The sequence below is a fragment of the Homo sapiens genome, chromosome 16, assembly GCF_000001405.40.
Source record: "Homo sapiens chromosome 16, GRCh38.p14 Primary Assembly".
NCBI lineage: Eukaryota > Metazoa > Chordata > Mammalia > Primates > Hominidae > Homo > Homo sapiens.
The window spans coordinates 65,373,877-65,392,305 of NC_000016.10; the positions used below are offsets into that span (position 1 = coordinate 65,373,877).

At 39.1% G+C, this 18,429-nt stretch overlaps 2 long non-coding RNA genes across 3 annotated transcripts in view, besides 1 other annotated feature; one reads left to right on the forward strand and one right to left on the reverse strand.

Moving 5' to 3' along the window:
• LOC124903780 (uncharacterized) overlaps positions 1 to 18,429 on the forward strand; it is a 161,687-nt gene that overhangs the window by 141,833 nt on the left and 1,425 nt on the right. The gene's annotated exons all lie outside the window — the stretch shown is intronic.
• LINC00922 (long intergenic non-protein coding RNA 922) overlaps positions 1 to 18,429 on the reverse strand; it is a 291,796-nt gene that overhangs the window by 89,375 nt on the left and 183,992 nt on the right. The window contains exon 3 of one of the 2 annotated variants that reach the window (NR_174971.1): positions 1,328 to 1,450. The exons of the other annotated variant lie outside the window; for it this stretch is intronic. This is a non-coding gene — a long non-coding RNA (long intergenic non-protein coding RNA 922). The remainder of the gene's footprint in view (positions 1 to 1,327; positions 1,451 to 18,429) is intronic. 2 annotated transcript variants of the gene reach the window in all.
• Positions 1,104 to 2,303: an enhancer, noted in NCBI's record as "MED14-independent group 3 enhancer chr16:65408883-65410082 (GRCh37/hg19 assembly coordinates)". NCBI's record gives its function as "activates an origin of replication core promoter dependent on BRD2, BRD4, P300/CBP and CDK7 cofactors, and independent of MED14, by STARR-seq in HCT116 cells {active_cell/tissue: HCT116}" and the evidence as "EXISTENCE:reporter gene assay evidence [ECO:0000049][PMID:35650434]".

The following is an 18,429-nucleotide window of genomic DNA, read 5'->3' on the forward strand; positions in this document are numbered from 1 at the left end:
TTTCATACTAAGCAGTATGTCCCCTTACTTCCTAATCAAAGGTGTAATCAATCATCATTTGCAAGGCATTCATTTTGAGAAGTAGGAAATGAAATTCCCCAAATGTGGTTACATTCTAATTTGCAGGGAACCACTGATTCAGGAAAAGGAACTCCTTTAAGGGAAGGTCACCAAAATGTATACTGGCACAAATCGTGCCACTAAAAATTACTGTGAATCTAGAGCAGGGGTCAGCAAACTTTTTCTGTAAAGGGCCAGATGGCAATTACTGTAGGCTTTGTGGGCCAAATTGTAGTTACTAGCAACTCTGCTCCGTAACAAGAAAGCAGCCACAGATAATACAAAAAGGAACAGGCATAGCTGTGTTCCAATAAAACTTTACTTATGGACACTGAAATTTGAATTTTACATGCTTTTCACATGACATAAATTTTTTTTCTTTTTTTGATTTTGAAAAATAATTTTTAAATATGAAAAATATTTTTAGCTCAGTTATACACGAATGAGCAGTGGGCTGGATTTGCCCCTCCTGCCATAGTTTCTGGTCCCTAATATAGAGGAATTGTAGCTGTTTCTCACTATGGTTTGTACCATTAGAAAATATACATATGATGGTAAAAATAATTATTTTCAGTACAAATCCTGTTTTTCATTGCACTGAATGAAAAAATATCTAGATATTTCCATGTAGAGAAGTGTCCAAAATATTTAAAGGTATAAAGTAAATCCCTTTACTTCGTGGATTATAATCTTCATCAAATAGGGTTATATTTCATTTGTCCTCAAATAACCGACATCACAAGCACCTAATAAGTGATTCTTTGCTAAAATAAACCATGTCAATGCCCTCTGTAGGATCCTTCAAAATCTCCCTCTCACTGTAGATTTCATGGTTTCCAGAGCAGTTTTAGTGTTCTTTTAGATTTTCATTCATTCATTTGTTCATTTATTCAATAACTATCTCTTGAGCACCTATATAGTGGCATTCAAGGCTCTCTATGATATGATAATGGCCTGATTCTGATCTCGTGTCGTGACATGCCTGTATACACATTCATTTACTTATTCGATCCACTGATACTGGCTGTTTAAAATCTGCCAGTCACTGTTTGAGCTACTGAGAATAAGTAGTGGACAAGCCTATTAGAATTCCAGTCCTCATGGAGCTTTCAGCCTAATCACAATGAGCCAGGCGTGGTGGCTCATGACTGTAATCCTAGCACTTTGGGAGGCCGAGGCAGGCATACTACCTGAGGTCAGGAGTTTGAGACGGAGAAACTCCATCTCTACTAAAAATACAAAATTAGCTGGGCATAGTGGCACATGCCTGTAATCGCAGCTACTCAGGAGGCTGAGGTAGGAGAACCACTTGAACCCGGGAGGCAGAGGTTGTGGTGAGCTGAGATCACGCCATTGCACTCCAGCCTGGGCCATAAGAGTGAAACTCCATCTAACAAACAAACAAACAAACAAACAAAAAATCATGATGAATGAACGAGTTGCAACTTTGACAAAGGCTAGGAAGTAAAAGGACAAGGTGCTGTGAGATCGCGTTTCTCTCTATTCCAGTCATGCTGAATCTCTGGTGAGTTCCAACACTAGCTGTGCTCACCCATGCAAACACCTCTGACATGGTATCCTAGGCTCCTCAAATTCTGGGTAACTTCAATCGTCCACATTCAAAGGTCCCAGGATTGGGCTCCTTCCCATGCGAGCAGTCTAACTCCACCTGCCCAAGCAGAGTGGGCCATAACTGCAGCTGTGCCCCCATAGCATGCTGCCCTACTGTGATTGCTTCCTTTACATCTCCATATTTTATTAGTCTTGGAACCCTTCAAGTAATCATAGAGGTCTAGCTCAGCATTGTCAGCTTCTGTGCCAGTTGCCCAGCACAGTGTCAGGCTCAGCAGATAGGCAATGTTGAACAGAATTCAAGCATCATGACACATGGAGAGTCACTCACTGGAATGTTTATACTGTGCATTAAAAATAAGTCAGCCTTTATCATACACTAGTCACTCTTTCCTCTTCCCCTCCCTAAAGACACACCTTTAATTTCACAGCAACTTTATCTAGTATTTGTACTTTTTTCCGGAAAACTCACCTTTAAAGTGGAAGGTCAAGTTGCTTTACTCTCACTTTTTTCATTAAAGAGCCTGTTATGTTACATTCAGTTTGACTCCACACTCAGCAATTCCAGAAGAGAAGTCTCTCTTATTCGAATGGGGACTGGGAAGGCGGCAATAATTTGCAGAATCCAACAGAACCAGGCTAAAACATTTTTCTCCGTCAAGAGATGACACCATTTAACCCCAATTAACTCACATCTCAGGTTCAAGGCTTCGGGTTTACTAACCTGAATCAATACCCTACTCTATCAATTATGTAAATTCAAACCAATGACATTCCTTGACATTTTTGGAATTGGTGTTAAAATCCTGCCAAGCGGGGGCATCATTGGGAGCTACATTATGATCCTGTAGGAAAGTATTGTAGATGGATCATATTTTAGTTTTTTGGGGTTTTTGTTTGTAAGATTGAAAAAAAGAATCACTGGCTGGTTTCCTGAGACAGTGAAGAAGACAAAACACACATCGAGATTCTTCAGATTTCTTCTTAGTGCTGTCATTTATGAAAATTAATGAAAACCATTTAAGAGGGTGTAAATGAGCAACTAATAGATTTAGAAATCGACTCTCACTCACTCTTCCTTTTCTCCGGAGAGAGGAGGCAACAGAGTCTAAAGAAAGAGGGAGGTGAGCAGCTACATTAGGGAGCACAAGCATTGAATTTGGACAGACCTGGGCTCAAATGCAGGTCTGTGCGTTTCTGTATGGCCAAAGGCAATTCATGATAGCTCTAAAAGCCTCATTCACTTCATGTATAAAATGAGGCTATGCCTCACTTCAGCAAAGAGCTTTGCAAATATTACGCAAAACCTGTACCATCATCTCTGGAGTGCTTGGAGCCAGGAACATAGTCAGTGCTCAATAAATATTGGCTAACATTAATGTTACATCCACAACTAGACATTTTAATGCTTCGAGAATCCCAGACTGGTTTCAGTGCTGTCTTTGAATTTTCTTTTGTTCAACCATTCATTCATTTGTTCAGTAAATATCTGCTAGGCAGCTATAAGGTACATGGAACTGCATTACATCCCTGGGGAAGAAGAAATGAATGAGCAAGCCACAGCCCCCCTTTCTCGTGAAGCTCATGGTGCTCCCTAACCTGTCACAAGTAAATATGCCACTTTTCAATCCAGATATTCAAACAATCTCAAGCTTTCTGATGTAGGCAGTTAATCTGCCACGAATTTTCCTTCTGTGCTTGGCACATTGTAGTTGCTCAGTAAATGCCAATTAAATGAATAAATGTCAGTTGAGTGAATAGAAGGGTGATGGTAATGAATGTCTCCTATTCCAGAACACTGATGTGTGAGTCAGAGGACATAGTCCCTTTTTAATGTTTTTAAGAGATTGTGTCTGTGTGTGCATGCACATGCTTTGCTTAATTCACTCTCAGTCAAAGAAAATGTCTTGTGGAGATTTTAACATATTTAGGTTTAAGTTCTGGAACTAAACTTTATATCCAGTTGTCATGACAACTGTTTCTAAGACAATTAAATCCCAATCTGAGTATTCTGAAGGGCCAGTCATTTCTGGAGAGGGCTTTGTTTGGTTGGAGAGGGAGAGTCCTATTCAACTCTGGGCCCTGCATTTTATAGTCAGTCCTCTCAGAAGGAGGTCCCAAATCCATCACCCCTTCTATATTAGTTTGCTAGCCCTACTGTAACAAAGCACCACAAACTAAGTGATTTCAACAACAGAAACTTATTGTGTCACAGTCCTGGAGCTTTGAAGTCCAAAATCAAGGTGTTGGCAGGGTTGGGTCCCTCTGAGGGCTGTGAAGGGGAATCTGTTCCAGGCCTCTCTCCTTGGTTTGTGGACGGCTGTCTTCTCGTTTCACATGGTGTTCTCTCTGTAACCTCATACATCTTTCCTCTATGGGTATCTCTATCCAAATCTTCCTTTTCTTTTTTTTTTTTTTTTTTTGAGACAGAGTCTTGCTGTCACCCAGGCTGGAGTGCAGTGATCCAGGCTGCATCTTGGCTCACTGCAACCTCCACCTCCCAGGTTCAAGCGATTCTTGTGCCTCAACCTCCAGAATAGCTGAGATTACAGGCGCCCACCACCACACCCAGCTAATTTTTTATATTTTTAGTGGATGGGGGTTTCGCCATGTTACCCAGGCTGGTTTTGAACTCTTGAGCTCAGGCAATCCGCCCACCTCGGCCTCCCAAAGTAGTGGGATTACAGGCGTGAGCCACCATGCCCAGCTCAAATCTTCCCTTTTCATAAGGACACCAGTCATATTGGATTAGGGATCACCCTAATGACATCATTCTAACTTGATTACCTCTGTAAAGACCCTATGCCCCAATAAGGTCACATTCTGAGGTATGGAGCTTAGGACATCAACATATGGAATTTGGGGTGGGGGGCACAAATTGATCCATAACACCTTCTCACTGGCATGAGAAATTAGACCTTATCAGAATGCTATATATATCCTCCAAGGTATTATAAAGATGGCATCAACATTCCCTTTAAAAACAATTCCATAGGTTTTTTGGGAACAGGTGGTATTTCGTTACGTAAGTAAGTTCTTTAGTGGTGTTTTGTGAGATTTTGGTATACCCATCACCTGAGCAGTATACACTGAACCCAATTTGTAGCCTTTTATCCCTCACTCCCTCCCCACCCTTTCTCCCCGAGTCCCCAAAGTCCATTGTGTTATTCTTATGCCTTTGCACCCTCATGGCTTAGCTCCCACTTATAAGTGAGAACATACGATGTTTAGTTTTCCATCCCTGCATTACTTCACTTAGAAAAATAGTGTCTAATCTCATCCAGGTTGCTGCGAATGCCATTAATTCATTCCTTTTTATGGCTGAGTGGCATTCCATTGTACATATATAGTTTACATTCCCACCAGCAGTGTCAAAGTGTTCCCTTTTCACCATATCCATGGCAATATCTATTTTTTTTTATTATTGGCATTCTTGTGGGAGTATGGTGGCATCACATTGTGCTTACATTCCCATTTTATAGAGAGGAAAAGTAAGACTCAACGGGGTGAAGCTACTTGCCTCAGGTCAAATAGCTAAGAGAACAGGACTATCCTGGTCGTAGCATGACGCTATGCTAATACCCATATTTTATCCCATCATGTCTAGATGTTTCATGTTCTCTTTATGAGGCAGTCAGAATCTCAAGCAGAAGAACAGCTACTGTAACTTTAGTGCTCGACTCCCTTAGAAGAAGGGCAAAGTCTTCTAGATTCCTCCAATATCAACTTAAAATTAGTTTTGTGCAGCCCTGGCAGGCACAGCAATAAAAGAGATCCAAGGTGCATTTACCTTCCAGGCAGTAAACCTATATGACTGCCAAAGCTGTCATTTTTTTTTTTACCTTCTGAAAATGAAATGTTAATTCCCCCCTTAAGACCCTCCACAGATTTAGTTTGTAGGCTAATAACAGTTCACTTAAGAACAAGAGAAATGTCATCCCTACTTTGACGTGTGATCACAAAATAGAACGATCTTCAAATTCCCTTCAAAAGGGGAAATGTTTATGAATTCACTTTCAGTGGGGGATATAAAGGGATTTGTCAAAACCTGCTGTGATTTCAGCGATGCAGAAAAACAGTGCTGCATTCATTGAGCCAGCCCAAATGTGAGCTCATGAGTGGTACTGTCCTTCTGTATCCCTGCCCTTAGGGCTTGGGGTATTCTCAACCTCGTGGGCTTCTTAGGGTGTCCAGGGCATTCTTTTATTAATTTATGTGTTTGTCCCTTGTGACCTTGATTTGAAAAATAAAAAATACAATGGGAGACTTTTCACCCACATCATCCATAACAGCTCTGGCTAGGTCTTGACACCAGAAATGCCAAAGATATTGAGTTGCCCGGCTTTGTCATTGGGGCTTTACTTTCAACGTCTATGTAAAATCGGCAACTGGATTTGATTTCCTAGTATAGGCTTAAGAAGACTTCACAGCCACTGAGTTTCTTTTGCAGAAAAGGTTGTCAGCAATAGAGGTTAAAGCAACATCTTTCAAAGGCAGAAGGATAATAAAATGTTTTTATTTTTATGTACTAGTTATTTGTTGTCTGATATATAATGCTCATTATTTCATATTGCATTAATTTTAAATTAGGGATAATATACCCATTTTGCTGACTAGGAAACTGAGACTCAGGTGAGTTAAGTAATTTTGGCAAATTCATACAATTCATTTAGGCTCCAAAGTATAGAATCAAACCCACAATGATTTGACTCTTCATACTGTACTATGATTCCACCTATTATAAAATATCCATATTCACCCAAACATCTGCTCTCTGGTGGTTTGTGCTACCTTTATGACAATGAAGTCACTCACTTTACAAATGATGAAATATATCAGTTCTCTTAATAATGCTATAAGAGATACAGTTCCAGAAAGTTTGACAATTTGTTAGATGTCTCCTCATTTCGGATGAAGCTTACTTTTATCCACTTTAGACCCTTCAAGGACAATTTCTGTGAAGCTAATTCTTTCAGTGAAGAAAATATGAAGAGCCAGCATCTAAATTCTTATGGGCCTGGCTGTCACTTAACATCTGCTGGAGAAGAGTAGTGGGGTAGAAATAGTACAAGCCTGCAAATCAAGAAACTTGAGGTATTTGTTTTCATTCTGCCTTTGACTGGTTGCATGACCTTTGACAATTCCCCCAAGTCGTACGATGTCATTTCTAAGATAAGTAAAGAATGGGTGCACTATTTAAACACACACACACACACACACAATATAAATATGTTAAATTATAAATACTCAATAATTTGAAGAATTCTACTAAAATTGGCTTCTGTACTAGGGCTCTTACATACTTTAAGTATTAAAATTATTCCTCTTAAACAGATGAGATGTTAAGGGTCCCAGACATGTAAAGAGCTTCCATACTCATACACTGATGAAGTTGCAAATCAAACTCAGTAGTGTCTGGTTCCTAATTCATGTTCCTTCTACAATATTCCTTTACCTACGGTCATCTGAAATATTTTACTATAAATCAAATATATTCAACTTTGAACATGAAGTTGAGTCCAAAGGAAGCTCAGTGTATGATCCAATCTGCTAACAGGTTCTCTGTCTAGGTCCAGAGGTGCTTTTCTGGACCACAGGAGAACCAAGCCCATGGGTGTACATGGTCAGTCAATTGGACAGAGGTCTCAGTTGACCAAAGATCCCCTGAACTTGAAGGTGATCAGGGAGAGGAGGACCGGCAATCATTAGACTCATGTACAGATCTATTTCCATTCTCAGGAGTAGAACAGAATATTTCATCACCAACCACTCCACCTGCCTTGAGAATTTGGCTTGTTAGCCATACACCTGCTATACAAATTTTCCATTTTCTATTTGACTACAGTTCCACTTTTCTGGCTATGATTTCCTGCGAGGGAAAATTTATGACTTCACCTAAACAAACAACTATGACCACAACCTACCTTTGCAACACAACTGGGGAGATTAATCTTTAAAATATGGGGTAGGGGGCATTTTGGCATCCTCATTAGTTGTTATATTCTATTTCTATTCCATTTTAGGAATATATATCTTTTTTATTGTAAAAACAAAACAAAACAAAAAATAAAACAACAACAAAAGGAGAAGGGCTCAAAAATAAATAAATATTGATCCAAGATTCAGGGTAGGTTCCACTTCCAGACCCAAACCACCCACCATCATAGACTCTTCAAATGATCTACTTCCATAATTCCAAAAATTATTTGATTTTGTTTGCTTTTGTCTTTGTCACATGCCCAAGCTCTCCTCATTTTTCACTGCAACTGAAATGCTTATTCAATAATTACAAATTAAGCACTTATTAAGTCACATAAAGTGGTCATTGGGACAGAGACTGTTAACTTCAAGCTCATGGTGTGAGAGACAGACATGAAAAATTGGTTAATACAATATAGTGCAAAGAATAGTGACCTTCTCTCCTCATGGGATGGAGATGTGAATTTAGAGATGGCTTATTTCACTTAATTTAATATTTTCTCTCCTTCTCTGCCACACTTCACATTTCAGTTCATTCTGGAACTTGGGTCATCTCCCTTAAATACTGATCCAAATATGTTTTCTCCAACCTCTTTTAACCTACTAACTTGTCAAGTTACCTATATAATTGAGACTAAATCCTTAGGGTATCCTCAATGTTCTAGGCTCATGTTCTGTACATCAAGACTTATCTTCCTCCCTCTCCATGAATCTTGCACTCCACGTAAGCGCTTTTCATCATTCTCCTCATGTTCACAGGAAAACTCATACTTACTCATAACCTTTGCTTTTGCTGTTTCTCCCATCTCATGTGACCTCTGCCTATGAAATTTCTAAGCTTCAGGTAAGCCCCAGCTCTGAACTCAACTCTCTCCTAATATTCCCCAACTAGGCCATGGAATCTTAAAGATAGCTAGATCATCTATGGGCACACTTATCCCAGTTGAGTAATTTCGTTGCCCACCTCCAAGGTAATGAATAATACTATCCCCACTCTACGTTCAGTGACAAAATGATCTCTACATTTTTAGGTAGCTGTACTTCCTATTGAATTATCCTTACCTGTAGGATTTTTCATAGAGCCAAAATTAACTTCTCTGAAACAACACTTTCTTTGGCTTTGCTCTGCCTTTTGGAAAAGAAGAACAATTCTAACATCTTTCTTATGTATCTACCAATCACATGATTGAACCCAGTCATTTTTCTATTATCATCATTCTGCTTAGATCTCTTCTCCAGCCTAAATATCTTAACAGCCTCAACTCTCCTGCAGGTGGGGGAGATGTCACTCTTTCTCAACACCCTGTTCAAATGCAATACCCCAATGCAGCATGTGACCATAGCTGCAGTCTTTATAAAAGAAGATGGTTTACTTATCTCTTCTCTTTGTCATTGATTTTTATTAGAGTAAGTTCATGATTGCTTTTTCCAGCAGCTATTTTATGCTGCTGGTCATGGTGAGCATGAGGTCAACCAATGCAGCCCATTTTTCTGCAGGGACTGCCATTTAGGTAGGGCTTCCCCATCCGGTGCTTAGAGAGTAGAATTTAAAACTTGATCTCCATAAGCCCATGCAGTTTCCATCCCTCTGTGCTCTGCCTCCGTAAAATAGTTTGCCTGCTTAGTGAACTATGGTTCTAAAGGATGAAAACATCAAATGCATCGGCAAAAATCACAGGTATTGATAACTGGCCTAAAATATTTAAGTGTCATATAATTCCAGCAGACCAAACTGACAGTAATAATAGTGGTGTTTTATACATCAATGTAATAATACTTAATAATGATGCTTTGTATTTATCCACTGCCTTTCTTTTGGAAATGTTGGCAGAGTAAAGTAAATCTAACATTGATATTAAAAAATAAACCCCTAAATTAATACCAGTTTGACATACCCCTTCAAAAAAAAAAAACTCAGAAAGCACAATATAAGGCTCTCTGACAACCTGGAAATGAATGGTTTTGCAAAGCATAAAAAATTTGGCCTGTAGGATGACAAGAAAGTCATATGTCACCTGTGACTAGTTGTAACTCCTACCCTCAGGGTGGGTGTTGGTTTAATTTTGACTCTGGAGAAACGTAGAGCAGTAAAATGTATAAAAAACATGGGCAAGTTCACATCCCTCACTTGTCAGGGATATAAAGCAAAATCAAAATTATTTTCTAAGTCTTTGGACACAAAGTGATTATTTCTGGGGAATGTAAACAGTTGCCAATTCGAATACATATCAGTGGACTCCAGGTCAAGACTAAGGGACCAACAGGGTCAAGAGAACAGGCTGGCATCTGGATAAGCGAGTTATTAGGTATAAATTAATATAGGTAAATACCTCATTTGAAACGGAAATGGTTTGGCTGTGTCCCCACCCAAATCTTACCTCGAATGGTAATAACCCCCATATGTCAAGGGCAGGGCCAGGTTGAGATAATGTGATCATGGGGGCAGTTTTTCCTATACTGTTCTCTTGGTAGTGAATAAGTATCATGGGATCTGATGGTTTTATAAATGGGAGCTCCTGAACTCCTCCAAGTTCTCTTGCCTGCTGCCATATAAAACATGACTTTACTTCTCCTTTGCTTTCCGCCATGATTCTGAAGCTTCCCCAGCCATGTGGAACTGTGAGTCCTTGAAACCTCTTTCCTTTATAAATTACCCAGTCTTGGGTGTGTCTTTATTAACAGCATGAGAACAGACTAATACAGAAACACTGCATCAATTACCATAAAAGTAATTTATAGAGGAGACATTCTAAGGGATAACAATGTCTTAGACATAAGAAACACATCTCTAATGGTAAAATTTTAAACATAAAAGTAAACAGAGAGAAAATAAGATATTGAACCTAATTATAGGTCTTTCTATTTCTTCAAGTTAACCATGCAGTATGCGGTAAAAGAATAATTTAATATCAGATTGGCCAATATTTCTCAAGCTAAGAAGGAAAATACAATTTATTTTTCTCCCTGATTCTCTCTTTTACACACTAATTCCCAATACCTATATTTGTTAAGTAGTTATCATGTGCAGAAGGAAATAAAACATATGATTTTTAAACAGTCTCTGTTTAAAGTGAGTAGAATCAACAAGGAGATAAAAACGTCAACATAACCAAAATCTAGGAAGGAAGTAGCTGGATGACACAATGTGCAGATAAGATCTCTGTAGGATTAGTGGGAGGATGACCTCATGAGGGATAGTAACAATCAGAAGTAAGACCTTGGAGAAGATTTTGTGACCTATGGAGATAGAGAAAGGGCATCCAGAGAAACAGAACCAATAGGATATATAGATAAAGATTTATTATGAGGAATTGGCTTACATAACTATGAAGGCTGAGAAGACCCAAAACTTGCCATACATTAGCTGGAGGCCCAGGAAAGCTGGTTCCAGTCCCAACCCAAAGGCCTGATAACCAAAAGAGTCAATGATGTAAGTCCCACTCCCCAGTCTGAAGGCCTGAGAACCAGGAGCACTGACATCCGAAGGCAACAGAAAGTGGATATTCCAGCTAAAGCAGAAAGAGCAAATTCACCCTTCCACATTTTTGTTCTGTTCAGGTGTTCAAAGGATTGGTTGGCTTCTACTCACACCATTATCAGATTGGCCAATATTTCTTAAGCTAAAAAGGAAAATACAATTTATAAATATAAAATACATGGGGAAGAGAAATCTACTCTACTCAGTCTACCAAGTCAAATACTAATTTCCTCTAAAAACATTCTCACAGACATAGCCCCAAGTTTTACCAGCTTTCTGGGCATCCCTTAGCCCAGTCAAGTTGAAACATAAAATTAACTATCACAGCATCCTAGGGTGGGTAAACATCCATAGCAAAGACATCTAAAAAGAAGAGGAGATACGGTGTTTTTGGTCTAGGCCACAGGGGGCATCATTGACACTATTTTGTGATAACCTATTTCATCGTAGATGCTGTTACTTTCGTTAGGGTTGTCTCTATGAGCTTTTAATCCTCAGCATAATTCTATTGTTCAATATCCAATCTGTCATGACAGAAAACTTTTTATTAAGCAGTTACAATATGATCACCCTTTATGCTAAGCATTTTGAATTTTGTGGTATTTTTGGCCAAAATAATTGACTTCCCTGTAGCTGTGGACATTGCTGCAACTTTGTAACTGCCTTCTGATTTTGGACTTGTTTTGTGGCAAAGATGTTGTTATACTAGATCTGAGCCCAAGCCTCAAAAGGTTTTGAATCTCTCTTTCTCTCTGTCTCCATCTCCTCTCTCTCACTCACTCACTCTCTCTCCTTTTGTCTCTTTCAATCTCTCTCTCTCTCTCTCCCCACCCTCTGTCTCCCCCAGAACTTTGTCCAACCACCATGAGAACAAGTCCAGAGTAGCCTACTGGAGAAAGAAAACTCAGTTTTTCCAGCAAAGACCATTCTAGAATCTTGAGCTAGCCAACTCCCAAACACATGAAAGAACTCAGACAGGATCGGCAAAGCCACCTACCCATCTTGTAGCTGAACATACAAGCAAAAATGAGCCCAGGTAAAACAGAAGAGCTGCCCAAATCACCGGTAGACTCATGAGCCAAAATAAACAGTTGTTTTAAGCCATTGAGCATTGTTAGTTTGTTATGCAGCAACAGCTAGCTGATATACATATACTGCTCACAACCAACTGTGAAACAGGTATTGTTACACATCCCCATTTTAAAGGTGAAATAACTAAAGTTTTAGAGAACGAAGTCACTTGTACTAGGTCACGTGTAGCTAGTATTTTAATTCAGATTGTCCTTTTTCTAGAGCCAGAAGGCTTAACCACTTGCTGATACTGCCTATCCATATGATCCAAATGTTGTAGTTATATTTGGAATAAGTAAAATCAGGCACATATTAAGAAGCAGAAACAAGATGCAAAGTCAGGTCTGCCTTACCCTAAACTCACACACTTGTTGTGCCATCCTATCTTCTCTCACACAAAAGGGAAGCACTGAAAAATCAATACCATGATAAAGGAAGATTGAGGTCAAATCTACATGCTTTTGGACACCAGGGCAAAGAGCTTTAGCTGCTTATGTTTTGAAGATAGTAAGCAGTCCTACAATTATTTTAGCAAAGGTAGTACAAAAGTGCTTACCTTCTTTAGGCAGCGTAGGGGTAGCAGGAACACTTTCAAACATGCCATAACCCAAGAATGAATTCGGTATTTGTGTTTTCTGCCAAGCAAAATATCTCTCTGCAGAAAAGGGCCCTCTCTTTAGCTTAAAAATAAATTCAGGATGAATAAACCTCAAAAACTTCAGGGGCTAGGTCAGAAACATATCTTCCATGCAGAATATAAACACCAACTTTTTGTAGAGTCATGAAGTGTCCATATTTTTTTAAATCATAAAATATGTTGGCATACTTTACTTCCACAAGGACCCCTACCATGAGGATAACCTTAATCCAGCACAAAAGAAAAATATTTACAGGAACTGAGGCCGGTAAGTTGTTCTCCCCTGTGTGATGTGATATACTGACTACTCTGATTATGCAACAGTTTGATGGGCATGGTAGAAAAAAACGCTTAGGAGTATAAATATTAATGCTTAGGCAGTGATTTGTGTAAACTGTGTAGCAAAAACAAAAGTACAAATATAAGTTTTTCACATATTTGCCTTGTCTATGGCATATATTATTCACACCACATGTTTTCCATCTCTACAGCTCTTCTGAGTGACTGGAAACCATATTTCTCAAATACTGAATTCTCATAAAATGTTTTTTGTTTCTTTGTCTTTTTATTTAAATCTTGAATCAGATGAGAATTGTACCTGGTTTGCAAACTGGCACTAAAGCATTAAAATTGGGTTTTAAAAGTTTCTTTTGTGAATATTATGGGATATCCAAAAAGTTCAGGATGGCAATATCAAACAGCATCAAAATGTTTCTAAACTTTTTAAAAAATGTTCTCCTTTTATGTCAAACGATGCAGTGTTCATAGAATAAAAATCTCTAATTCTCTTTTGACATGATCTGTAAGTGAGGAGGTAGTGGAGTTCTTCCTTCCACTCTTAGAATTCTACAAAGAAGCCCTCAGTAGTGACATGGGAAAAGAGGTTCTTCCTTTTCTTTGCTAGAGATGGAAGAGAAGCTGCGTTCTTTCTCCTGTGCCCTGCATAATACACCCTCCACTAATACCGTTACTGCTCATACCTATTGTCCTTAAGAAACACTAATGTGATCCTCTGCTTCTTTCTTCCACCAAGTATCTGTTCTTAAGTTACAACATGTAGCCAAATTGGGAATACACATACTGTGATTCAAACAGATTTCATAGCTTACCTGGCTGATTCTAGTGAACCTTATTGAGGCAGGAACTCCTGACCAGGTTACCATGTTAACCTTGCACAGTTAATAGCACATGAGCTGTGGAGCATCGTATTCTGCCCTAAGAGTTTTCACCCACCTAATCAACAAGTATTTCTGGAGTATCTGTCCACTGTCAGATCTTGTGCTTGGTACTGAGGATATAGCAGTGTGGAATGTAACGAGATGAGCATGGCCCTTGGAGACAGTGGGAGAGAGATAATAAGAGTAAAAAATGAAACAAAGTGATTATTGATTGTGATACATGCTCTAATGGGAATAAACATGGTGGTACCGTATACAATAAGTCTACTCTGCAGAGGAGGACTTCTATAAGGAGATGGCATTGGAGTTGAGACCAGAGTGATGAGACAAAGCTCATCATGTGGAGATGGGCAGAAATACATTACCATAAAAAGTAAAAGGAAGTGCAGAGGGCCCACAATGAGAAGAGCTTGGTATGTTCAAGGAAATGGAGCAGGTAGCAAAAGAGGAGTCCAGGAGACTGGGCAGGATCCAGATCACTTAGTGTATTAGTCCATTTTCATGCTGCTGATAAAGACATACCCAAGACAGGGTCATTTATAAAAAAAACAGATTTAATTGACTCACAGTTCCACATGGCTGGGAAGGCCTCACAATCATGGTGGAAGGCAAGCAGGACCAAGTCACATCTTACATGGCGGCAGAGAAGAGAGAGAACTTGTGCAGGGAAACTCCTTTTCATAAAACCATCAGATCTTGTGAGACTTACTCACTATCATGAGAACAGCATGGGAAAGACTCACCCCTGTGATTCAATTACCTCCCACTGAGTCTCTACCATGAAACATGGGAATTGTGGGAGCTACAATTCTAGATGAGATTTGGTGGGGGGGGGTTGTGGTGCACAGCCAAACCATATCATTTAGACACTTGCCAACCCTAACAAGAAGTTAGAATTTTACAGGAAGTGGAAAGTTTTTGAAGGGTTGCAAGTGGAGATGAAACTTGATCTTATTTATATAGACTCTTGCTCAACACTCAGGATTGGGACTTCCCTCCAAACATTGTTTTGTAGGAAACTTTCCCATAAGGGAGCTTCTGCACTTCTTCTCTGGAGTCAAGACTCCATCCTCACCACAGGGTTTCTGTTTACTGTCTGGGCTGCTACTTGGCTACCCCTTTTTCCCTCTGATGCTGGTAATGATGGCTATCTAGAAATCTCTTCTCCATTACTCTCCCATCACTTCCACATGCTCAAACAGTTATCCCAGCTAAGTCTGAATTCAATGTGTTGCCTCTTGGCAGACTGAGGGTCCAGCTACTGTTGAATATCCACTCGGGAATCTAGACAGGTCTTCATCCTCTTCCTATTGTAACCAGCCACTCAGATCTTGGCATGCCTTCTGAAAGCTGAATCTACAAGAGCTATTCTAATGCTTAATATCCCCAAGCAGAAATAACTCAAGGCAGACATCTACAAAACAGACATGTTTTATGCTTTGTCCTGTTCTGGTCATCTGAATCTTAATTGAAATAAATACACAGTATTTCCCAATCCTAATAAGATCATAGTTTCTTCCTTATTTTTCCCTTCCTTCCTTCCTTCCCTCCTTCCTCCCTCCATTCCTTCCTTGCTTCCTTCCTACCTTCCTTCCTTCTTTCCTCTTTCTGTCCTGTTTTCTTTCTTTTTCCTTCTCTACCATCCCTCTCTACCTTCTTTACTCTTTGGTCCTTCTCTACCATCTTTCTTTTTCCATCCTTTGTACTTTAATAACTAAAAGAAAGATGAAGTCCCTTAAAGGATTTATGAACATGATAATCCTGGTAATAATACTAATTATGATGATAATAAAATTATCATAGCTAACACTTATTATAAATCCTCACAACTCTAATTGGTACTATTAATATCGCTATTTAAACATGAAGAGCTTGAAACCTGTAAAGGCTAAGGCACTTGTCAAGGTCACAGAGGTGGCATAAGACAGAACTGGGTGGCCCAAATGCAAAGGTCATGTATGCCTCACCATGCTTTGTTGGATACCTTGTATTGTGAAGCATGAGTGAGCCTATATTCTGTATTGAAAACTTTGTGAAGTGTGCCATGCAGAGAAAGGCATTTTTAACTATCATCTGAAATAAGATAAGTGCAATTACAGAGAGGGCTGTTCGATCCAGTTCTGATGTTGACCTCTCATTCCTCTTCCCAGAAGTGCTGGTAGAAATGCTTGACAACTGTGTCTGATGGACACACAACTGGAAAAAGCCATATTGTGGGTGTCTATGTGTGTGTGACCCCACTTTCTGCCATGAATCCTGAACCAGTCCAGATCCCTTATCTCTCAGTTAAGTGTATACATCAGTAAGGGTATACCTCCATTTATTTCTGCTTCCTTCCAACATGCTTCCTATTGATATCTGTGCTTATTTGAGTATTCAGCGGAGCTCTCTGTTTTGCCAACCTGAATGCTGAATTCTGCCCCTGCTCTCTCTGCAGCGGTGGTAGTGTTGGTGGTGTCTGTATTTAGGGGTGGCAGTCATTTGACCACTGTGGTTTATGGACAAGTGTTTTACATGCTTTTCTGAGGAAAGAGTTAATTCCAACTGGGGGTTTATGGCAAAAATAGATTATCCATTAGATAAAGACAGTCCTCAATAACCCTCTTCAGCCCCATTAAGTATCACCTGTCAACAGGCTCAGCACTACCTCGGGGCGTGACAACATAATCTCTGTATTTCCATTAGTGGGTTGGGTCAGTTGTATCATTCACATTCGGGATAAGTACCACTCCAAGATGACTTATTTATAAAATAATGTAATTTAAAATAAAAATCCAGAAGGTTTCTGTGTTTAAAGCCATGGATCACCAAAGAAACTGGTCCTATTATCATTTGATTTGCTCTATCAAATTAGACATAATTACACAGAAGTATTTATTTGCTTTTGTTTTTGTTTTTTGAGGCAGAGTTTCACTCTGTTACCCAGGCTGGATTGCAGTGGTCCAATCTCAACTCACTGCAACCTCTGCCTCCATGGTTCAAGTGATTCTTGTGCCTCAGCCTCTCGGGTAGCTGGGATTACAGGCATGCGCCACCTCACCCAGCCAATTTTTTTGTAGTTTTAGTAGAGATGGGGTTTCACCATGCTAGCCAGGCTGGTCTCAAACTCTTGGCCTCAAGTGATCTGCCAGCTTCAATCTCCCAAAGTGCTGGGATTACAGGCATGAGCCACCATGCCTGGCCAGAAGTATTTATTTGACTAGACAACGTATACAGACATGCACACAAAATCATCATGTACAATATTCTCCAAGAAATTAGGGCCTGGGCTAAAATATGTTTTAGGAAGTCTCTGTAGTCTAGAGAACTGTTTCTGAAAAATATACCAAATCTAAAATAACAGCCACTAAGTTGCTTTTGGTTGTCTTGTAAATTGACTTCATTATATATATATATATATATATATATTTTAAATACAATAGTCATTCCTTTTCCGTGGTGGTTTCGCTTTCTGCAGTTTCAGTTACCTACAATTAACCACAGTCCAAAAATAGGTGAATATAGAACGAGATATTTTGAGAGAGATAGAGCACATTTATATAACTTTTATGACACTATATTTTTATAATTATTCTTTTTTATTACTAGTTATTGTTGCTAATCTCTTACTGTGCCTAATTTATAAATTAAACATTATTATAGATATGTATGTATAGGAATAAAAAGTGTATATAGGGTTTAGTACTATCTGCAGTTTCAGGCAGCCTATAGGGATCTTGGAACATATTCCCTACAGATAAGGGGCGACTACTGAAAGGTGATATTGTGTGGGTTTGGCCAAATTAGTGAGTATACTTTTTCACATGAACGAATTTTCCAGATAACTAAGACTTAGTATTGATCCCAGTGGTAATTGCTTATATTAACTATTTTTAAAAGAAACTGTAATTTAATGTATCACATACCTCTTGGCTTTTTGAAACAGAAAATACAGAAACCAAGCTAACCTTTTCTTGATGTCACAGTCTGCCATTATCAATAGCTGTGGCAGAGAGAAAAAGTGCTGGATTTGAAGTTACTTGATACTACGTGCATGTTTACACTCTGCTTCTCTTCACAAAGAATTTGAGGTCAGCTTACAAAATTATATGTAATACAGAAGAAAAGTGACAAATAAGTGAAGGAATCAAGATGAGGAGAAAATACAGGAAAGCAAATACAAAAGCCAGGAAAAATATTAGTGAGCCAGGATCCTGACTTAGCACGCTGGCTGCAAGTGATGGAAATCCAGCTTGAAATTGCCTGAGGACCAATGAAGAATTAATTGCTGCATATAAAATACTGCAGTAGTAAACAATGGCAGAAATGGCCTTGAGGTTGACCAGAAATAGCTTCTGAACACTGTCAGGACTCTCTCTGTAGGTTTCTCATCTCTGTTACTCTGTGCACTGAGTCCTCACTTTTCCATTATTTAAAGGCAAGGAGATGGTCTGACTTACTGGAACATCTGCATT